Raw genomic sequence first — 24,536 nt, forward strand, 5'->3', positions numbered from 1 at the left:
GGGATTACGGGTGTGGGCCACCGTGCCTGGCCTTAATTTTTGTATTTTTTAGTAGAGACGAGGTTTCACCATGTTGGCCAGGCTGGTCTCGAACTCCTGACCTCAGGTGATCTGCCCGCTTCAGCCTCCCAAAGTGCTGGGATTACAGGTGTGAGCCACCATGCCCGGTCTCAAGTATGTTTTTCAAAGGAAGGATATTCATGGAGACAATTGTCATTCTTTAAACATTTGATATGCATTTGAGCTAGTCACAGATAGCTGTTAATGTGTAAATCTTGATAACAGGCTTCTAATGTCACCATTTCAGTTTCCTGTGCAGCAAAACAAAAATAACATTAATTTGTGTTATATGGCAACTAATGCACAATAATGAATAAATATCTTAAGTATTAGGGAGAATCCTGGTTAGAGAGTTGATAAAGTGAATACAAACTCCCTTTTCAAGCACTTGAAAGGGAGGGATGGTTTTCCAAGATGAAGACTTAGGTTTGAGTATCTCCCTTTGCCTGAATTTGCTTTTATGTAAAAATAGAGGGTTGGATTCTATCTATTCCCCTTTAACTCTAAAATTATATTATTCCAGCAGTTTTACTTAACAAGAATTGACTATCACACAAATGGTTTTGTGCTAACGTTAGCAATAAACACCTTTTTAAAACCCTGCTTTTACCCATGCTCCCGGGCATGCTCTAAAGTTCATTTGACTTCTAATAATGGATGTGCAAATATGTTGAGTGATCACTTCCACAATGGTCCTGTTCCTTTAAGAGACCACGGTTGTTAAGTTAGGAGATCATTGAACCATATGAGGGTCAATAAAAGAATAAAAAGTCACTGGTTAGCGATTCGAGGACAAGGAACTTGATCCCAGTTCAGTGTCTGTGGGTCCATATGCTGCCCACAGTCAAAGAGGGAGTCCCAGGTTCTTGGCAGCTTGCTTTTCCTCAGGATGGCTTCTGGAAGGCTCATTAAGTTCGTGGTTTTTGAGCTCCTAGAGTTTGCCGCTTTCTCCATCCCCACACTCGTGATCACAGAACAGTTTGCCACCGCCTACCAAGGAACAAGGGCTAGATCTGACAACACACACTACTGGCTGATCATCTCCTGTTCTATTGCCTATGTTGCGTTAGTGACTCTACTGATCTGGGTTCCTGTAAAAGTTATCCTGCACAAGAAACGTTATATTTACAGAAAAATTAAAGGATGGTAAGTAAAAGAATTTTCTTTTTTTTCTTTTTGATTTGGAGTCTCGCTCTGTCACCCAGGCTGGAGTGCAGTAGGGCAGTCTTGGCTCACTGCAACGTCCGCCTCCTGGGTTCAAGTGATTCTCCTGCCTCAGCCTCCTGAGTAGCTGGGATTACAGTCGCACACCACCACACCTGGCTTATTTTTGCATTTTTAGTAGAGACGGGTTTTTGCCATGTTGGCCAGGCTAGTCTTGAACTCCTGACCTCAAGTGATCTGCCTGCCTCAGCCTCCCAAAGTACTAGGATTACAGGCAGAAGCCACAATGCCCGGCCTGTAGAAGAATTCTTTAGTAGGGAATCCCCATGATGCTGTCAAAGATACGTTTGTTTGTTTGTTTTTTTGTTTGTTGTTTGTTTTAACTTTAAAGTTCAGGGGTAAAAGCGCAGGTTTGTTACATAAGTTAACTTGTGTCATTAGGGGTTTGTTGTACAGATTATTTCACCGGCATGCACCACCATGCCCAGCTAAGTTTTGTACTTTTAGTAGAGACGGGGTTTTCATGTTAGCCAGGCTGGTCCCGAGCTCCTGACCTCAAATGATCCACCCATCTTGGCCTCCCAAAGTGCTAGGATTACAGGAGTGAGCCAACACGCCCAGCCTGTAAAAGAATTCCTTAGCAGGGAATCCCCGTGATGCTTTCAAAGATATATTTGTTTGTTTGTCTGTTGTTTGACTTTTAACTTTTAAGTGCAGGTTTGTTACATAGGTTAACTTGTGTCATGGGGATTTGTCGTACAGATTATTTCATCACCCAGGTATTAAGCCTAGTACCTATTAGTTGTTTTTCCTGATCCTCTCCCTCCCACCGTTCACCCTCTGGAAGGCCCCGGTGTGTGTTGTTCCCCTCTGTGTGTGCATGTGTTCTCATCATTTAGCTCCCACTTATAAATGAGAACATGTGGGATTTGGTTTTCTGTTCCTGCGTTAGTTTGCTAAAAGTAATGGCCTCCAGCTCCATCCATGTCCCTGCAAAGGACATGATCTTGTTCTTTTTCATGATTGCATAGCATTCGATAAAGTATATATGCCACATTTTCTTTATCCATTCTATCACTGATGGGCATTTAGGTTGGTTTCCTGTCTTTGCCATTGTGAATAGTACTGCAACGAACATACGGGTGCATGTGTCTGTATAATAGAATGATTTATATTCCTTTGGGTATATACCCAGTATTGAAATTGCTGAGTCGAATGGTATTTCTGTCTTTAGGTCTTTGAGGAATCACCACACTGTCTTCCACAATGGTTAAACTAATTTAGACTCCCACTAACAGTGTATAAGTATTCCTGAAAGATATGTTCTAACATACTGTGGGTAAGGATGTGAGCAGAGCGTAAGGATAGAATGTGACATTAATGGGAGGCTACAATTACTGCTTCTGTGAATGTATGGATATTATGGTATCTTCCTTAATTTTTCTACAGTCATTTATACTGAGTGATAATAACACATGAGATGGGTTAGTAAGACTGGAGTTTGTGCCAGTTCATGCTATTCTAAGTAGTAAATGTTGGACTTAATTCTCCTGGACACTAAATTACATAAACTTATCGGAGTGAGCTTACACAACTCATAATCAGAAGATGGTAATGTAGAATTTTAATTTTGCGTAAAACTGAAAGTAATGTCTATTTTTAATTATTTACATTGCATTTTGCAGGCTTACGTCATACTTTGACCATTAACTACGACTTTTAAAACAACTGGTTCCTTTAGACTTTTTATTTACTTATTTTTTATTTTGAGACTGGGTGTGGCTCTGTTGCCCAGGTTGGAGTGCAGTGGCGTGATCATTGCTCACAGCAGCCTCAACCTCCCCAGGGGGCTCAGGTGATCCTCCTACCTCGACCTCCTGAGTAGCTGGGACTACAGGTGCACACCACCACACCCGGCTACTTTTTTTGTGTTTTTTATAAAGATGAGGTTTTGCCACATTGCTCAGGCTGGTTCCAAACTCCTGGGCTCAAACAATCCACCCGTCTTGGCCTCCCAAAGTGCTGAGATTACAGGCGTGAGCTGCCAAAGCTGGCCTACTTAGACTTTAAAAATAAATAATTTACTGTGTTGGTAAATTCTGTTACCCTTGTAGGGGAGGAAAGTACTTCAATAACAATACAGAGATATTTTAAATAAATCAGGATTTAATGTTAATTTAACTAGCAGTTTAGCTAATGGGTATACTGATCCACATAAGGGTATTGAGAACAAATAGTCTCTGATATTAATGTATTTTTCCTTTTAGATCTTCAGATCTGATTCTTACTCATCTTGGACTTCTCTCTTTTCTTTAATAAGTTAATATAAGCTAATTTTTCTTTCATACTGATGTTTTATTTATTTATTTATTTATTTATTTATTTGAGACAGAGTTTCACTCTTATTGTCCAGGCTGGAGTGCAGTGGCACGATCTCAGCTCACTGCAACTTCCGCCTCCTGGGTTCAAGCAATTATCCTGCCTCAGCCTCCTGAGTTGCTGGGATTACAGGGTCCTGCCACCACTCCCGGCTAATGTTTTTTTTTTTTTTTGTATTTTTAATAGAGACAGGGTTTCTTCATGTTGGCCATGCTGGTCTTGAATTCCTGACCTCAGGTGATCTGCCTGCCTCGGCCTCCCAAAGTGCTGGGATTATAGGCATAAGCCACTGCTCCCGGCCGATGTTTTATTTTGAAAGCGAATGACATAGAACACATGTGAAAAGTGAGGCACTGGGAATTTGCACATCCACGCAAGGGCAGAAATGTAAAAATAATAGACTCTGCAATAGAGCTAGAAATACCATTGCTGAGGTTGGGAGGATGCTGATGGAGAGCTGACATGTGAAGTTCATGGTGCTGTCTTTAGGTACCGATCCCAGATGTGGCTACTTCTGCGAACCTTGCCAGGAGACTTTCATTTTCCCGAAAGCAGGGGTCTTAAGGGGTTTCTGGAAATAAAGCATTATGTTGTTGGCACTGCTTTTATCAGTAGGGTTTAGGGGCTTTCCAAACCTTGACCAGAGCCCCAGGGTCACCTAAGGGGTAGCTTGGAGCTGGGCTTGACCCTCCACCTCTCACACCCTGTAGGGGTGGCTTTGACTGTCCAAGATTCCTGGCTGGGTTGGAATTTTGAGGGAATGGTGGAAGGTTCAAATGACAACAGGAATAAACCAATGGGAAACTGGCCCACCACAGCCCAGGAAGAAGCTCTTGGGTTTTTTTGTATTTTGGTTTTTTGTTTTCACATTGACTCAAATCCCTAAGACTCTAGATTCTGAATGTCATTTAGGCAGCAAACCTTCCCATATAACTTACTGTTATTATTATTAGGCTATAATTGATTCTTTATAGATCACTGATTATGTGCCATGTAAGTACTGATATGAGGTGGTACAGAAACACGTACTTCATAGGCCAGGCACAGTGGCTTACACCTTTAATCCCAACACTTTGGGAGGCCAAGGTGGGAGGATTGATTGAAGCCCAGAGTTAGAGATCAGCCTGGGCAACATAGTGAGACCTCGTCTCTACAAAACATTACAAAATCAGCAGGATGTGGTGGTGCACGCCTGTAGTCCCAGCTATTCAAGAGGTTGGCTTGAGCCCAGGAGTTTGAGCCTGCAGTGATCTATGATTGTGCCACTGCACTCTAGCCTGGGTGACAGATGGAGACCCCCAACTCTGAAAAACAAAAAGACAGAGAAATATCTACTTCACCTCATAAAGTATTTTTTTTCTTTTTGAGATGGAGTCTAGCTCTGTTGCCCAGGCTGGAGTGCAGAGGAGCGATCTAGGCTCCCTGTACCTCTGCCTCCCAGGTTCACACGATTCTCTTGCCTCAGCCTCCTGAGTAGTGGGGATTACAGTTGTGCACGACCACACCCGACTAATTTTTGTATTTTTAGTAGAGATGGATTTTCCCCATGTTGGCCAGGCTGGTCTCGAACTCCTGACCTCAAGTGATCTGCCCGCCTCAGCCTCCCAAAGTGCTGGGATTACGGGCATGAACCACTGTGCCCAGCCTAAAGTAGAATTTTTATGAGTTTATCGTTATTATTGCCTAGAGAAAATTGCCGATTAGAGAGTTTCAGCAGCTCTCCCAAAGTCAGTGAACTAGACAGAGTGGAAGAGGCAGACTTTGGACCTAGGTCTACCTGACTCCATAATGGGTACTTCTAGCCACTGTCCCAAACTGCCTCTTTGAAGGACAAGGTCCCATTCTCCTGGGGCAATTGAGAGTTAAGGAACAGAGTAGGCTTTTGTTTCTGCCCCTTAGTGCATGTGGTATACCAGTCATCTCTGGTGTCTGTTCAGATTTCATGTTGTGCATCTGGCTCAGGTACCTCCCCTGTGCTAAAGTGTTTCGGGTTGTCATGACTACATCTCTCAGTGATTTCTTTTGGGAAATACACTTCCAGTCTTTAGTTTCTGTTTTGCCGGTGTTGCTGGCCACACGTGTTTTAAATAGTGTTTAGACAGTGGACAGGTTATCTGTAATTTCAGTGAAACTGAAACTGTTTCCTTCTGGCCACATTCGTGAGCATTATCATATAGTTATCTTTTACTGGCATAGAAGAGAAGCAGCCACTGAGCACTGTTCTAGGAGCTTTACACCTTCTGTACTGTTAAGTTTAAACTTTACAACAACTCAGCGAAGTGTACATGCTAAAGTTCTCATTTTATAGACAAAGAAACTGAAACTTGAAGTAATTAACTTTGTCAACTGATAAAGCTAGCAAGTGGAGCCAGGCATGGTAGCTCCTGCCTGTAATCCCAAGACTTTGAGAGGCTTAGGTGTGAGGATCGCTTGAGCACAGGAGTTCAAGACCAGCCTAGGCAACGTAGTGAGACCCTGTCTCTACAAAAAAATTAAAAAATTAGCCAGGCATGGTGGTACGTGACTGTAGTCTCAGCTGCTCTGGGAGCTAAAGGGGGACGATCACTTGAGCCCTGGAGATCAAGGCTGCAGTGTGTTGAGATCATGCCACTGCACTCTAGCCTGGGTCACACAGCAAAACCCTGTCTCAAAAAAAAAAAAAAAAGCTATGTAATGGGGGAGCTAGGATTTGTGAGCCTAGGTCTGTCTGATTCCATACAATTTCCTGTATCTCATACAATTTTCTTTTCCTTTATTTTTTCTGACTTTGAATGCCAGGTGTGTTTCAAGAAAAATGCAATGCTTTTTTTGTTTATTTGTTTTGTTTTGTGTTTTTTGAGATGAAGTCTTACTCTGTTGCCCAGGCTAGAATGCAGTGGCATGATATCCGCTCACTGCAACCTCCACCTCTGGGGTTTAAGCTATTGTCTCATCTCAGCCTCCTGAGTAGCTGGGATTACAGGTGTGCGCCACCACGCCTGGCTAATTTTTTTATTTTTAGTAGAGGCACAGTTTCACCATATTGGCCAGGCTAGTCTCCAACTCCTGACCTCAAGTGATCCGCCCACTTTGGTCTCCCAAAGTGCTGGGATTACAGGCGTAAGCCACCAGGTGCAGCCAGAAAAATGCAGTGCTTTTAATGTCATTAACATAATTTCACCCAGAGTGCATTTGGCTCTTATAATATATGGGGTAATATATAGGGTGTCATGTCTTGATTGCTACATGAAGATGATGCAAAAATAATTGCTACTAGACAAAGTAAGGATTGAGCATATGAATTATTTTTGAGGAATAGTCAAATAGTTGTTTATGTGAAATTTCATAGACCCTGAACATTCATGATTTGATGTTGATGAGGCTTATCTGAGAGCTTCCCTGAAGGTCCAGGCTGGTGTCATGAGCCCTGTGAGGCTGGTCTTCAGGAGAGAGTGAGTCATCAGTCAGTAAATGGTGTGCCCCAGGAATATATGTAAAGGAAAACTGGCCTGGATTCAAATCCTAGCCTTGACATTGACCATGAAACCTTATGTGAGTTATTTGAATTCTTTGAGCCTTAATTTTTTCGTGAGCAAAACAGAGACAACTTAGTTTCTTTCTTGGAGTGCTGTTTTAAGAAATTTCATAAGATCATGCGTGTAAAGTTCCTAGCATAGCAACTGGTCTGTAGTAATCATTCATTGAATATAAGTGTTATGACCTCAAACTGAATTTACTATTTTCATTAAAAATGTGATCGTGTTAAATCTTCAGAATGACTCTGAAAAGTGGTAGAAGTGGCAATAAAACTGAAGGAAAATATATCCTGTGAGTAATATTCCTCGATTTTGGAGAATTTTGTAGGTTTCTTTTATTCTTTGAGAAGAATGAACACCAGAATGGTGAGATCATTAGTATCTCAGAAATGTTTTACATTAACAGAGGTATTATGTGTTATTTTATGTCATATTTATGTTTTATTATGTTATGGTTTTCATTTCATGTTCTCACTAGGCCTCCATGCCAGTGTTGTAAAGTTGACCAAGCAGACATAATTCCCATTTTATGAGGGAGGAAACAATTTCAGAGAGCTTAAAATGTACTGGAGGCTGAACTTTAATCCAGTACTTTCCCCTTCTCTCATTAACACTTCCTGATTTTTCTGGAATTATGGCTCCATTCTAGGGATGCCTGCCAGAATTCATAATAAACAAGTGAGATGGTTGGGGGAATGAAGAAAGCTATTTATATACACACCAAACTGTGTATTCCAGGAAATAAGAGAGTTATTTTCCTGGAATATCAGTAGATGTGTGATAACATTGAGCTACAAGGCTAGCCTGAAACTGGAGCAGATCTTCATTGAGAAGGTACATTGGCAGTAGGATAATCCTAGAATATTTGTGGAGGTTCCCAGACTGTCTTGGGACCTAGAGCTATATTTTGGGTGTTCTTTTGAGTCCTTTGGAGTACAATTAATTCAGACTATGAACACGTCAGGAATCCTGGGCAGGGCAAGTTTAAAAGACCATTTTGGGCAACATTTTACCTGGCTTAAGGTTTTAACATATTCCATGAGATTTTGCTCTTGATCTGCTTTAGGTAACGGTGGTGGTGATCATAGTAGTAGTAGCTGTTGTAGTTGCAGTAAAGTAAGAGCAAATATTTATTGAGCAAGTACTATGTACCAGGCATAATTTTAAACACATTGTCTGTATTATTTTAGTTGATTTGCGAATCTTGATATGCAAGAACAATGATAGTCTCCCCTTTAGAAATGAGGAGATTGAGGCACAGGAGTTAGAAGATCACAGAGCCAATGAGTAGTTGAGTCAAGACTGCCCCAAGGGGACCATCCTGGCTAACACGGTGAAACCCCGTCTCTACTAAAAATACAGAAAAATGAGCCGGGCGTGGTGGTGGACGCCTGTATAGTCCCAGCTACTCGGGAGGCTGAGGCAGGAGAATGGCGTGAACCCGGGAGGCGGAGCTTGCAGTGAGCCGAGATAGCGCCGCTGCAGTCCGGCCTGGACGAAAGAGCGAGACTCCGTCTCAAAAAAAAAAAAAAAAAAAAAAAAAAAAAGATTGCCCCGAGGGAGCCTTGAGCACCTCACTGCTCCGCGCTGGCCCTGACAACTGAAACACACAGCACTAGTGACATCTGTGCACTGCTGGACACACGGGCTAACCTGAAGGAAATGGAACTCACCTTTCAGCACCTCTGAGAGATCATTAATTGGTAAGACCCCATTAACTAAACACTGCTGCTTACCAGTTACTTCTCAGAACACTCCAGTTTCTCTTAGTGAATCTGTTATCTACCATGTTTAACATTTTCTCATAGATTTATTGACTATTTGTATTTTCTAAAAATCATATATTTTTGTCCTTGATCTCTTTTTCTGTTGGTATGTCCATTTTTTTTTTTTGCTACTGATTTACGAGTTCTGTAAACATTAAGGATGTTCATTTGCTTAAATTGCACAAGATCATCAAACAATAAGTATGTTGAATTTGATGTAGCATACATTTCAGAGTTATCATTAGTCTTTTAATTTTACTTTGGTGTTTTTGATATGGAGAATTTTTATTTTTCACGTAGTTTAAGCTATCCACATTTCCTTTACAGTTTGGTCTTGGGCATTATACATGAAAAAGATCAATAATTTTGTCATAGTTGACTGCAGGCTTTATCTTCCTTGCCCTACTATATCCAGTGTATTAGTCTGTTCTCATGCTGGTAATAAAGACATACCTGAGACTGGGTAATTTATAAAGGAAAGAGGTTTGATGGACTCACAGTTCCACATCGCTGGGGAGGCCTCACAATAATGGCTGAAGGCAAATAAGGAGTAAAGTCATGTCTTACATGGCAGCAGGCAAGAGTGCATGTGCAGGGCAACTCCCCTTTATAAAACCATCAGATCCGTGAAACGTATTCACTGTCACAAGAACAGCACAGGAAAGACCCGCCCCCATTATTCAATTACCTCCCACCAGGTCCCTCCCATGACATGTGGGAATTCTGGGAGCTACAATTCAAGATGAGATTTGGGTAGAGACCCAGCCAAGCCGTATCACACTGTAAACCAGCACGAGCTTATTTACTTTTTCTTTTCTCTCCTTATCCTATGCAGGAAGTCACCACATTCTGGTAATTCTTCCTCTTCCTCTCTCTTGCATCAGCTCCTTGTTCTCCATGGCTGTTTCTCTCATCCCAATTAGGCCCTTATTTCCAGACCATCAAAACTTGAGTTTCTGACGTGGTCCCCCAAATTTTCATATATTCAAATCCAGTGTCAGACCTGATTCGTCCTGATTGTTTCTGTTCAAGGAAAAATGAAGACCATTTCATTAACTAACGTTTGGGCTCTGGCAACCTTCACCCACTGGTCTTCTTGCCTCTTGCTTCTTTTCTCCCCCCTGCATTCCCTCCCAGTCCTTGTCAATAAGGTAATTCTCTCCTTAAAAAAAGTTTTCTGGGCCAGGCGTGCTGGTTCACACCTGTAATCCTAGCACTTTGGGAGGCCGAGGCGGATGGATCACTTGAGGTCTGGAGTTCAAAACCAGCCTGGCCAACATGGTGGAACCCCATCTCTACTAAAAAATACAAAAGTTAGCTGGGTGTGGTGGCTCATGCCTGTAGTCCCCGGTACTCAGGAGGCTGAGGCAGGAGAATCGCTGGAACCCGGGAGGCAGAGTTTGCAGTGAGCTGAGATCGTGCCACTGCACTCCAGCCTGGGTGACAGAGTGAGACTATGTCTCAAAAAAAAAAAAAAAAAAGAAAAGGAAGTTTTCTGTATCTCAGCCGCACCCCTTAAAAATCTCCTCTTCCCCTTGCTTGTAAATCAAATATTGACATTATTCCACAGAATCCTGGAGCTGGGCAAACTCTTACTGTTCGTCTTCAAAATGATTTCTCACAATACAAATACCTCTGATTCTACAGAGAACTCACTACTTTCTGTGGCTCTTCGTAGAACAGCCTTCTTTATTACCTTGTGTTGAAACAATACCTATCACTATATAGCTCTCTTTCTCATCCACTTTGTAGACTTCACCTCCTCTGCCCTTTCTTTCTCCATGGCCAGGAGCTGTCACATTACTGCCTAATTCCCCATTTCTATTGCTTTTTGAACACTCCCATCAGCTCGCATAATATAAACTGCCACTTGTATGGTGACAGCTCCCCAAATTGTGTCTCCAGGGGTGACTTCTCTGAGCTTACTGTATCCTTGTTAAATTTTTGCAACATTTGAAGGCAGTGGCATCATTCTGCCATCTCAACCACGCCACATCTCAGTCTGCTAAGTTTTCTCTTCTCCAATGGGCAGAGTTCCATCAACCATTCCTATCCCATGATTTCTGGACCTTTGACTCTTTTGAAAGTCTCCTTGGGATGCTGGCTGGATTTTTAATGCCTCGATATTATCTCAGTGACACCCTGATGTCCTCTTGATGTGGCTACTGACTTCGTGTATTGATATAATGCAATTGGCTTCCACTGCAATGATGTCACCTATTTCATAACAGAGTGTATGATTGACTAAACCTAGTTTTACTAGAAATCCTCTGGGTTAATAGTGATCCATGAGTCTGCTCTATGGGTTTGTTTAAATAGGTATATATTTACCTATCTGAATTTCATATATATATATATATATATATATATATATATATATATATATATACACACATACATATATATATATATTTAGGTTTTATTATATATAAATATATATATTTAGGTTTTTGTCGAGACAGGGTCTTGCTCTGTCACCCGGGTTGGAGTGCAGTGGCATGATCATAGCTCACTCCAGCCTCAACTTCCCAGGCTCAAGTGATCCTCCCTGAGTAGCTGGGCTACAGGTGTGCACTATGACACCTGACTAATTTTTAAATTTCCTGTAGAGACAGGATTTGCTAGGTTGCCCGGCTGGTCTCGAACTCCTGAACTCAGGCAATCCATCTGCCTCGGCCTCCCAAAGTGCTTGGATTATAGACATGAGCCACCATGCCCAGCCTCCCTACACGAATTCTTCATGTTAGCCAGCATTATTTCCAGGCTACTGCAGGTACAAGCCTTTGTGCTCAGGTACTGCCTCCATCCTCAGGGACTCTGTAGTCCACTGTGGAGTCTGGATAGTTGCATATGAAGAAACTAGAAAATGATATAAACCAATTTATAACAAACCACCAAATTTTATGTGACCCACCACTAGTCCTTTAATATCCCAGAGAAGAGCATCATCAAAACTTAGTGCTTACTGGGCACAGACTTGGTAGGCTGAGGCAAGAAGATTGCTTGAGAGCAGGAGTTTGAGACCACCCTGGGCAACACAGCGAGACCCTGTCTCTACAGGACGTTAAAAAAAAAGTTACCTGGGCATGGTGGTGCATGACTGTAGTCTCTGTTACTTGGGAGGCTGAGGTGGGAGGATCACTTGAGGCCAGGAGTTTGAAACCAGCTTCAGCAACATAGCAAGACCCTGTCTTTCTATTAAAAAAAGAAAAGAAAACCCTCAATGCTGACAGTAAGGGAGATGTCCTATTTGATTCATCCTTCCTACCCATCCCTTTCTACCCTGCCCCATCAGCCCACTACAGTGCCTTGAAGTCAGCAGCTTTTTAGCACATGTGGTTTATGGACTCAGGCTTATTAGAAAAACACTGTGCTTTGGAGTAATCAGAGAAAGTCTCATAAGGAAATCTTGATTTTCACTGAGCTTGGAAAGATGGGTGTGGGAGGGCATCCAGAGGAGGAGGATGAGTATGAGGAATGAGTTGATATAGTGAATTATTTAAGAGGTGGGAAAAGACCTACTTGCTTAGAAAGGAGCAGGTGGTGAGAAATGGGTTGGCAGCATCGCAGAGTGGTTAGGGGCGTGAGTTTTGGAGTCCTCAAGACCTGGATTAGAATTCATCTTTCACTTCCCAGCCACAGGATCTTGGGCAAATTAATTCAGCCTTCAACCTCAGTTTCATCACCTGTAAAAAAAGGGTTGATACCTCACTCAGAGGGTTGTTGTGGGGTTGTCGTATGTAAAATTATTTCCTGTAGCGCTTAGCCTGTGGCATGATATGAACTCATTGAGTTGTCGTAAAGAGCTGAGTGTTAATATATGTTGGAATGTTAATACTAGATTTTGGAGAGCCTTGAAAGATGGGCAGGGAAACGTTAACTTCATGAGTTAGGTAAAAAGTTTTATGTTTCTGAGCAGAGTGTCATCTCCCAAGTTCTCATCTGATCCTTTCCACCCACCATGCTTCCTCTATGAGAAATCTCAGGGCCAGAATCCTTGCTGCACAAACAGGAATTTGTAACCCAATGTGGCTGAGCTTACTGAGTTCATCGTTAATAGGTCCCATTCCTAGGAGGGTCCCTCTCATTGCCAGTTTATTATGATGCACACAGAGATCTATCGGCAGTACCCTAACTCAGTCTTTCATGTGGAAATTACACCATGCCCACGTATCCTTTTCTTTAGCCAATCCTACTGTGGTCGCAAACTTGCATTCTTTGCAGCATGAATAGTCTTTCAAAGAAGTGTCTGTTGTATTTCCAACCTAAATTCTGTTATTTGTAGTACTTCCTAGGACTGCTATAACAAAGTATCACAAACTTGGTGGCTTAAACAACAGAAATTTGTTTCAAATTCTGAAATACCTGAAAGTTCTGGAGGTGAGAAGTCTAAGATCAAGCTGACGGCAAGGTTGGTTCCTTGTGAGAGATGTAAGTAAGGAAGGCTCTGTGCCTCTCTCCTGGCTGTTGGTGGTTGCTGGCAATCTTTGGTGTTCCTTGACCTGTAGATGCATCACTCTGATCTGTGCCTTCATCTTCACATGGCATTCTTCCTATGTGTCCTCGCTTAGTCTTCCCCACCTGCATGTCTGTTTTCAGATTTTCCCTTTTTTTTTTTTTGAGACGGGGTCTCATTCTGTCTCCCAGGCTGGAGTGCAGTGGTGCGATCTTGGCTCACCTCAACCTCTGCCTCCCAGATTCAAGCCTCAGCCTCCCGGGTAGCTGGGACTACAGGCGCGCACTACCATGCCAAGCTAATTTTTGTATTTTTAGTAGAGATGGGATTTTACCATGTTGGCAAGGATGGTCTTGATCTCTGGACCTTGTGATCTGCCCACCTCAGTCTCCCAAAGTGCTGGAATTACAGGCACGAGCCACCACGCCCAGCCCCAGATTTTCCCTTTTTAAAAGGACACCAGTCATATTGGATCAGAGTCTCCCCTTACACCCTGTTTTCACTTGATGACCTCCATAAAGACCTATTTACAAATAAGGTCACATTCGGAGGTACTGGGGGCTGGGACTTACACATGTCTGTTTTGGGGTATATAATTCAACCCATAGGATTTCACTCTCTGACCCTCCCAAAATTCATGTTCTTTTGGTGTGCAAAATAGACTCATTCATCTCAACACCTCCAAAAGTCCTAATCATCCCAGCATCAACTCTAAGTCCCAAATCTCAACTACACATCATCAACTCAAAATCCCAAAACTTTCCCTCAAAATCATCCAAACAAGGTATAGGCAAGACTTGGGATATGATTCCTCCTGGGTCAGAGTTTCTTTCCATCTGCAAACCTGTGAAGCTGGACAAAAAGTTACTTGCTTCCCACATACAATGGTGGAGCAGGATAGACATTACCATTCTGAAAGGGAGAAATTGGAAGGGGAACAGGAGTCGTGGGTCCCATGCAAGTTCAAAAGCTAGGAAGGAAAATCCCGTTAGCTTTTAAGGTTTAAAAATAATCCTCTGTGTCTTGATGCTGATTCCTGAGCCCATCATCCAGGCCTATGACTGTAGTGGCCCCAACCCCTCAGCCTTGCATGGTCATAGCTCTGCCCTGTGGTTTTAAGTTGGGCGCCTCTGGGCTTGTGGTTGCAGCACCAGTCTCCCTGGCTTTGGAACCACTGTCAAAGTCATTTTTCCCTTTTCTGAAAGATAACACATTTGCAGCCAAATAGCTCCATCAACCCATTTTCTCCCTGGAGTCCTAGAAGTCCAACAGCATTCCTTCATTTCATCTTACCTCTGCAACCTTCAGTCCAAGACAGCAGTATTTCTGCTGAGATGGTTGACTGGATTCACAAACCACAGCCTTGGTGTTCTCTTCTGAGCATAGTTTCTTATCATTTGCAATATGGATAGCCTGAGAATTTGTCAAATCTTCAAGTTCTAGTTCCTTTTTGCTTAAAAATTCCTTTTTCAACTTATCTCTCTTTCTTCATTCACATTTTATTGTAAACAGCAGGGAGGAAACAGGCTGTGCCTTCAACACTTTGCTTAGAAACATCCTCGGTTAAATATCTCAGTTCATTACTTACAAGTTCTACTTTCTATCCAACAGAGCACGGTACAGCCAAATTTTCTGCCATTTCATAGAAAGGATCACCCTTCCTCCAGTTTCCTATAATATGTTCCTCATTTCCATCTTAAACCTCACCAGAAGCACCTTAGCATTCATATTTCTAGCAATACTCTGTTCATGACAATGTATCTACTCTCTAAGATGCTAACAGCTTTCTCTATATCCCTCCTCTTTTCTTTCTGAGCCCTCACTAGAATCTCCTTTAACACCTGTGTTTCTACCAACAGTCTCTTCAAGGCAATCTAGGCTTTTTCTATTGTGCTTCTCACAACTCTCCCAGTCTCTACTCATTCCTCAACTCCAAAGCCACTTCTACATCTTTAGGTGTTACAGCAGCATTCCACATTGCAGTCGCAAAATTGGCGTTAAGTTTCCTAGAAATGCGACAACAAAGTACCTGGATGGCTTGAGCAACAGAAATTTATTGCCTCAAAATTCCAGAGCTGAAAACACTGAGATCAAGATATTGGTAGGATTGCTTCCTTCCGAGGGATATGAGAGAGAATTTGTTCCATGTCTTTCTCCTTGCTTCTGTTGTTTTTTTTTGGCAATCTTTGATGTTTCTTGGCTTGTAAATGCATCACTGTGATTTCTGCCTTCATCATCACATGATATGCTTCCTGAGTTTCTTCACAGTCTTCCCTCTGTGCAACTCTGTCACCAAATTTCCCCAATTTTATAAAAACACCAGTCATATTGGATTAGGACCCACCTTAATGATCTTATTTAACTTGATTATCTCTGTAAAGATCTTATTTCCAAATAAGATCACATTCTGAAGTACTGGGGTTTGGGATTTCAACATATCTTTTTGGGGAGACACCATTTGACCCATAATACTCAACAAATTATAAGCATATCCAGCCGGGCATGGTGGCTCACGCCTGTAATCCCAGCACTTTGGGAGGCCGAGGTGGGTGGATCTCGAGGTCAGGAGTTCCAGACCAGCCTGACCAAGATGGTGAAACCCCGTCTCTACTAAAAATACAAAAATTAGCCAGGCGTGGTGGCATGTGCCTGTGATCCCAGCTACTCAGGAGGCCGAGGCAGGAGAATCACTTGAACCTGGGAGGCAGAGGTTGCAGTGAGCTGAGATCAGCCATTGCACTCCAGCCTGGGTGATAGAGTAAGACTCCATCTCAAAAAATATATATATATAAGCATATACGAGCAGTAAGTCAAGATTTTCAAACACAGATTAACATAACTTCTGGTTAAATAAAACATAGACTTGGGTTGTATTTATTTATTAATGAGTCCCTTCATTTAGTATTTATTGAATTCCTACTATGTGTTGGACATTCTCTAGCATCATGAAGTTCTTGAACTTGGATGAGAAACAATTTACATTGTTTCTTTCATTAACCTCTAATTGAAAGCTACCAGTCTTTTCTGATGTGGATGTTGGTAACAAACCACAGTAATATTAGCAGGACCTGTAACTTTATTACATAGAGCTTTTCAGACCATGTATCACAGATCTTTTCATATGTCACAACGGTTGTAGGAGAGACTTCAGTATATGGTTTATGATCTTCACTATCTTGAAATTATGAGTGATTACAATTTTTACTAGATCTTAAGTACTCCCCATCTTTTTTTTTTTTTTGAGACAGTGTCTCGCTCTGTCACCCAGGCTGGAGTGCAGTGGCGTGATCTTGGCTTGCTGCAACCTCTGCCTCCTGGGGTTCAAGAGATTCTCCTGCCTCAGCCTCCCAAGTAGCTGCGACTACAGGTACACACCACCACACCTCGCTAATTTTTGTGGTTTTTTTTTTTTTTTTTTTTTTGTAGAGACGAGGATTTGCTGTGTTGCCCAGGTTGGTCTCAAACTCCTGGGCTCGAGTGATCCACCCACCTTGGCCTCCCAAAGTGCTGGAATTACAGGCATGAGCCACCAGGCCTGGCCTGCTTCAAAGAAAATAAAAAAAAGACAATGTGTTCATAGATAGGCACATATATTGTTATGAGGTTAATGAAAGAAATGATTAAATTGTTTCTCATCCAAGTTTAAACTTTAAAAAGAATTTGGATTACTACATAATTCTTTAAAAAAGAACCATAAACTGTATACAATTTTTTTAAAAAAGACTTTAGGTAATTTTTAAAATTTGGATAATTTCAATATAATTGATTTATTTTCTAAAAATCTGTATATTTTATTTTACTCATTTAAAAATGTTGTCCTGAGAAGGTTTCATAGGATTCACTAGATTCTCCGAAGTTTCATCGCACAAAAATGATTCAGAAACATTATTCTAGTTGCTGGAAATAAAGTAGCAAACAAGTCAGATACGGTCCGGGCTTCCACAGAACTTACCTCGGGGGATGAGGAAAGAGGAAGATGACAAACAATAAACAAAGAATCAGCAGATTTCTAGGTAGTCATAGGGCTATGTATACAACTCATGTGTGTGTGTGTGTGTGTGTGTGTGTGTGTGTGCCTGTATGTGTTTCCTATACTATATATGAGAGTAGGAGCAATAAGAGAGAAACCATATCATGTACAGCATGTAGACTAGGGTAATAAGTTTCAGTTTTCTTCTAATTACATTGTGTGTTCATCAAAGATTTTTTTAAATTGTGATAAAATACATATAATGTGAAATTTACCATCTTAATCATTTTAAGGGTACAGTTCGGTGGCATTAAGTACATTTACATTGTTGTGTGACTGTTGCCACCATCCATCCACAAAACTCTTTCATCTTGCAGGACTAAAGCTTTATACCCATTAACCAATAACCCCTTCCTTTCCCCAACATTGGAGCAGTGACAAGACGTGTTTTACATTTTAAAAGCATGACTTCATTTAAAAAACGTGAAGACAATGTTGCTAGGCAAGAATAGAACCACCAACAGGAAACCAGTTAGGAAATACGGCAGATGAGAGGTGACAGTGGATGAACTATGGTGTTGGCAGAAAAGGAGTTTGAAGTGGACTTTGGCAGTAAATCAGACAGGATTAGATGATGGGCTGGAACAAGTATGGAGGAGGACTTGGGTTCTGTTTCGGACATGGTAAGTCTGAGTTGTGTCTTTGCCATCCAAGTGGAAGTGCCTAACAGTTGGGTAGACAAGTCAGAGTTCAGGAAAAACACCAGAATATATTGTGGAGTCCTGGGCAAATGAGTGGTATTTGAAGCAATGGGAACGGATGAGATAATCCAGGAAGATAATATAGATAAAGAACAAGCCCGGGAATAATCTCTGGGGCATTGTCATCGTTTAGAGGTCAGGTTGAGAAGAAGAGAACTTTATGAGTGGCTTGTCCAATCTTACTTAGAGAACTTAGTGTTGTAGGAACTTGGATCTTGGCTCAGACAAACAGACAAAGCTACCAGTTGAAAATTCCATCAGGCTGGTCTTAGCCAGGTTATACTGGGTCTGGCCATGAGAGAGGGGTAATCTCATCTTCTAATTTATATTTACACCTAGGACATCTAAGATGGTGCTGGGATGGGGGAGGCAAGACAGCGCCAAAGAGAAATTGTTCTCTATTATTTTATTCTTTATAATTTCAACTTGTATTTTAGATTCAGGAGGTACATGTGCATGTTCGTTACACTGGTATGTTGCATGATGCTGTGGTCTGGGGTGTGACTGATCCTGCCACCCAGTTAGTGAGAATAGTACCCAAAAGGTAATTTTTCAACCCTTGACCCCTTTCCACCCTCCCCTCTGTAATGGTCCCCAGTGTCTATTCCCACCTTTATGTCCATGAGTACCCAACGTTTAGCTCCCACTTATAAGTGAGAACATACAGTATTTGGTTTTCTGTTCCTGAGTTAATTCGTTTAGGATAGTGGCCTCCAGCTACAGCCATGTTGCTGCGAAGGACATGATTTCATTCTTTTTTATGACTGTGGAGAAATTAATAATTTGAAAGCATTCAACACTGCTTGTACATAGAAAACATTATATAAATGGAATTAACATAATATATATTAACGAATCAAAGAGGAGGTAAATATTTCATTGTAGAAAACCTTTGAGCAGGTATCTTTTCTTGTCCCATAAATTAAGGATGCTAAACATACATTTAAATTTTCTATTTTTTTAATTAATTAATTTATTTATTTTGAGACAGAGTCTCGCTCTGTCGCCCAGGCTGGAGTGCAGTGGCACAGTCTTGGCTCACTGCAAGCTCTGCCTCCCGGGTTCACGCCGTTCTCCTGCCTCAGCCTCCTGAGTAGCTGGGACTACAGGTGCTCGCCACCACGCCCGGCTAATATTTTGTATTTTTAGTAGAGACAGGGTTTCACCATGTTAGCCAGGATGGTCTCGATCTCCTGACCTCGTGATCCACCTGCCTTGGCCTCCCAAAATGCTGGGATTACAGGCGTGAGCCACCGTGCCCGGCCACATTTAAATTTTCTGTGTCATAAGATATACTATTTTCTACATATTATATCTCAATAGCTATTTGATTGGTTGATCATGCAAGGTTTAAGAAGTGGTCCAAAAACAAGTTTGAAAAATTATGTCATTTTTATGTGTGTATGGTTTTTTTTGGTTCTAGTAAAAAAATGTAAATGTTTTTAAGTGATCTTTAAATATTTAATAGTTTATCATCTCTAAATGTACTTTTTGAAATATAAATTTTACAACATGGGATATAATATAACTTGAAAGTCATGCTGTTCATTTATTCAGTTGGTCACTACAGCCTGACCTCTTGGGCAGGATTTTAATTAATGAATTATGAACATGTTGAATGTCATTTGACTTGCGATTTGATGCTTTTAATAGTTTGTGGTTTGCTAATTATTTGGAAATCTCTCACCCCTTTGTTCTAGAAGAAGCATTCTGGTTTCTGCGCGTGTTCCTCTTTGCCATATGCAAACATTTGGGAAATGGAAATAGGGAAGCAGCAGCTTCTTAGAAAAACTATAGATGAATGGAACAGGAACTGCAAAATTAGCAAAATGTAAGAGGAACTGTCGATCTTGTCCATGATTGCTTTGGCTTATTTTTTCTCCTTTGCTAGGAGACCTGTTCTGATGATGTGTGTGGTCCTCACCACACTGCCCTGCCTCACCTTTTCCATAGCAGTGACTGAGGTATGGAATTTTTGATTTCTTCTGCTACAAGATTATGAGATTTTATAATTTCTTGTTATTGGAATTTGATAGAGCAGCGTGCTCAACAAATTTCTTGACATCTATGTAATCCAATCTTCTTCCAGGTTGCAATATATGTTATTTAAAGTACTGAGATCATTGTTACCTCTGTGATTGTGAAGGAAAGTCTAGTAGCCAATTTTTAAAAATTAATTTTGTGTTTGTGTGTGAGACAGTAATGATATTTGAACGTTTAAAAAGTGAAAAATGTGAAAGTTGATCTATATTTGTTTCTTCTACCAACCTGATGTTTTTCATGATTGTCCTCAATTGTAAATGAATACAACAAGATCTAAGGGAAGGACCACTTACATTTTAATACCTTTGATAAGATGTCCATTGATAATAATTTGCATGTGTTATTTATTTGAAAATAATACTGAGTTTATGTTTTGACTAAATATAGCTTCAAAAGATCTTGGATAGAAACCAGCAGGGCAGGAATATCTTAGGCAGAACTTTCAGGCTTGTAAGTACTTCATTATCCAAGAAGGTCAGAGAAGAATGCCCCACTAATCTTATTGATTTGCAAGGTGCTGTGGAAGATAACTTTTATTTTCCCAAAGCATACTTAATTTACTAAATTACTTAATTTACCTTGTGATATTTCACTTGTATGTGAAGCAAATATTCATTAAGTATATATTACAGGCCAGGCACTGTTAGGTACAGGGCATAGGGGACCCAGGAAATATGGCCGAGTCTCTCATATAATTTTCTGACATTAGAGAGAAAAATAAACAGGCAATTAGAACAAGTATCACAAGTGTTGTGAGACAGGGCAGTACCGAGTAATGTATGACATTAGAAATTACATGGTTGTTAGAATGCATTGTAGGTGCTGCTAGAATACATCATAGATGCTAAATTAGGACAATGTATGAAGGCATAGAATAATTTTGGGAGGTTACTCACATGTGCTTTGCTTCCAGTGAACTGCAACAGGGAATATTTCAATCTAGATCTGTCTTTTCCCCTCTCAAAGACCTTGTAAATCATTTGGAAGGTTCTCAAAAGCTGTAAAAATTTAGTTTACAACCTTTTAAGAAACATCACTGCGGTAAACTGATGGCATATCTGGAGCTCGATAGCCCTTTTTGGCTCTTTTTTATGATGTCTCTTCCATTGTTACATCTTTTTCTTTCCTTTCCTTTTTTTCTTACTTAATTTTCACCGAAGTATAACACATAAACAGAAAAGTGCACGAAACATACAAGTACAGTAACAATGGAATACCACAAAGCAACCCCCTGGGTAAGCATCGCTCAAGTCAAGGTCAAGAAGGAAACTTTGGCCGGCTCCATGCCCACACTCCTTTATTTTTATTTATTATTTTATTTTATTTTTGTATCAGAAACCCATTGCTTGCTCACTCTTTTTTTATGCTCCTTTCAATGACTCCCTTTCCCTCCTTTCCAGAAGTCACTTCTAACTTGACTTCTGATACTGCAGGCTAGTTTGTCTGTTTTTGAAATTTTTCCAAGGAGAAATCAAATGATGTCTGGCTTCTTTTATTTAAAATATGGTTGTGAGGGTCATTCCTGTTTCTGTAAATACCTGAAGCTCATTCGTTTTCAGCTGTAGAGTATTACATTTTATGAAAAGATCATAATTTACTTATCTGTTCTACTCTTGGTCGCCATCTTGGTTGTTTCCAGTTTTGGCAATTACAGAGAATGCGGCAGTGAACATCTGTGAATATGTCTTTTGGTGTGCATGAGCAAGCATTTCTGTTGGTTATGTATGCAGGAGCAGAACTGATGGATCATGAGATATTGAAATGTTAAATTGTGAGAGATAAGGTCAAACAGCTTTTCAAACAGATTGTACTGATTTCTATAGCATCTCTATAGAACTCACCAGCAGAGAAGGAGCATTCACCAGCGCTTGCGTTGTTTCTTATTTTTTTGGAGACAGAGTCTTTCTCTGTTGCCCAGGCTGGAGTGCAGTGGTGCGTGTGATCTTGGCTCACTGCAAGCTCCGCCTCCCAGGTTCAGGCGATTCTCCTGCCTCAGGCTCCCCATCAGCTGGGATTACAGGTGCCCACCACCACTATGGGCTAATTTTTGTATTTTTAGTACAGACGGGGTTTCACTGTGTTGGCCAGGCTGGTCTCGAACTCCTGACCTCAGGTGATCCACCCGCCTCGGCCTCCCAAAATGCTGAGATTACAGGTGTGAGGCACCCCTCCAGGCATCATTGTGTCTTTTTATTTCAGCTCTTCTGGTGGGTACGATCCTGAATCTCACTGTACTTTTAAATTACATTTCTCCAGTAATTAACAATGTTGAGCATCTTTTCATCTTGCCCATTTTTTATTGTGTTGCTTATCTTTTAAAAACGTATTTGGAAGACTTATTTTCATATTCAGATTATACAAGCCTTTTTTGATTATATGTATTGCAAATATCTTTATGTAACTTGTCTTCACACTTTTATATCTTTTTGATGAAAAGAAGTTCTTAACTTAAAAATAGTCCAGTTTATTGCTTTCCTTTATGGATAGTGCTTGGGTCACTCACTTGTAGAAGATTTTGTCATTGTGAATCTGAATTTCAAAGTCTTAAAATCTTTCATATATATATATTTTTGTTTGTTTGTTTGTTTGTTTGTTTGTTTTTGAGATGAAGTGTTGCCCTATTGCCCAGGCTGGACTGCAGTGGTGCAATCTCTATTCACTGCAACCTCCACCTTCTGGGTTCAAGTGATTCTCACCTCTCAGCCTCCTAAGTAGCTGGGACGACAGGCATGTGCCACCACACCCGGCTAATGTTTGTATTTTTAATAGAGATGGGGTTTCAACATGTTGGCCAGGCTGGTCTTGAACTCCTGACCTCAAGTGATTTACCTGCCTTGGACCCCTGAAGTGCTGGGATTTCAGGTGTGAGTCACTGTGCCCAGCCTCCTAATTATATTTTGAAAGCTATATTGTTTCTTCATTCTTTTTTAGATTCACAATACATCTGGAACTGATTTTTGTATATGTTGTACAGCAGTGAGTTAATTTTTTTCCCCACATAACATTCAATGGACCGAGCACCATTTTACTAAAAAATCCATCCTTCCCACATTTCTCTGCTGTGCCACCTTTGTTATAAATCAAGTGTAGATATACATAATTCCTATGCCAACTCTACACTGTCTTAGTTCTTGCAGCTTTATACTAGTTCTTTATATCCAGAAGAGTAAATCTTCCTAGCTTATTCTTTTTCTTCCAGAATTTCCTGCCTTTTTAATTTTCATATAAATTTTATTGTCAGCCTGTCCTTTTCCACAAAAAGTTGCAACAGTGGTTGAAGTTGCATTGAATAGTATCATTTTTCCTTCCTTCCTCCCTCCCTCCTTCCCTACCTCCTTTCTCTCTCTCTCTCTCTCTCTCTCTTTCTCTCACTCTGTTGCCCAGGCCAGTGCAATGGCATGATCTCAGCTCACTGCGACCTCTGCCTCCTGGGTTCAAGCAATTCTCCTGCCTCAGTGTCCTGAGTAGCTGGGACCACTGGCATGTGCCACCATGCCTGGCTAATTTTTTTTGTATTTTTAGTAAAGATGGGGTTTCACCAAGTTGGCCAGGCTGATCTCGAACTCCTGACCTCAGGTGATCCACCTGCCTCGTCTTCCCAAAGTGTTGGGATTACAGGTGTGAACCACTGCAACCAGCCTACACTGTTTATTTCATTCTCTGGCGCATTACCCTGGCTAAGACCTCCAGGACAATGTTGAACAGAAGTGGCCATGGTGGCATCTTTGTCTTATTCCTGATTTCAGAGGGAAAACTTTCAATATTTCATCATTAATACAATGCTTTCCATAGTTTTTTGTTATTGTGGTTTGTTTTTGTTTCTGTTTTTTGTGGGGCAGGGTCTTGCTCTGTCACCCAAGCTAGAGTGCAGTGTCACAGTCACTAGTCACTGCAGCCTCGACCTCCTGGGCTCAAGTGATCCTCCCATCTCAGCCTCTCGAGTAGCTCGAACCAAAGATGTGTGCCACCACACCCAGCTAATTTTTAAATTTTTCATAGACTTGGGTTCTGGCCTTGTTGCTCAGGTTGGTCTCGAGCTCCAGGCTCAAGCAATCCTCCCACCTCAGCCCCGCAAAGTGCTGGGATTATAGGTGTGAGCCACCACACCTGGCCTTGCCGTAGCTTTTTGTAAACATTTTAAGCAGACGAAGGAAGTGTCCCAAAGTCTAGCCAGAATTATCTGAGTTCTGTCTTCTTGGAAGACTCTAAATGTTCATATTTGTTCTTCTAGCTCTTTGAGGCTGGATTCTTAGAAGCTCTGCTCAGCAGTAGAGTTGGAAGGAGTTACCCCTTCAATATTACAGGGAGCCCACTACTGTTTTTTGCATGTATTTACCAAGGTCTGTCTTTAACTGAAAATATGCTTCCATTGATATGAGTCCTTATGACAGCTTTAGAAATGATTCAAAACCTTGTGGCATT

General features: G+C 41.1%; 1 protein-coding gene across 2 annotated transcripts in view; it reads left to right on the forward strand.

Annotated features, from left to right (window-relative positions):
* The first annotated feature begins 854 nt into the window (after positions 1-854).
* The window catches only part of TMEM236 (transmembrane protein 236), a 48,668-nt gene continuing 24,986 nt past the window's right edge, over positions 855-24,536 (forward strand). Inside the window, exons 1-2 of one of the 2 annotated variants that reach the window (NM_001098844.3) lie at positions 855-1,206; positions 19,963-20,035. In NM_001098844.3, coding sequence (NP_001092314.1) covers positions 950-1,206; positions 19,963-20,035 — 330 coding nt within the window. In that variant the 5' untranslated portion in view covers positions 855-949. Of the gene's footprint in view, positions 1,207-16,762; positions 18,616-19,962; positions 20,036-24,536 lie in introns of those variants that run through there. The other variant, XM_017016574.2, reaches the window with a different exon arrangement.

The sequence above is a fragment of the Homo sapiens genome, chromosome 10 (assembly GCF_000001405.40).
Source record: "Homo sapiens chromosome 10, GRCh38.p14 Primary Assembly".
NCBI lineage: Eukaryota > Metazoa > Chordata > Mammalia > Primates > Hominidae > Homo > Homo sapiens.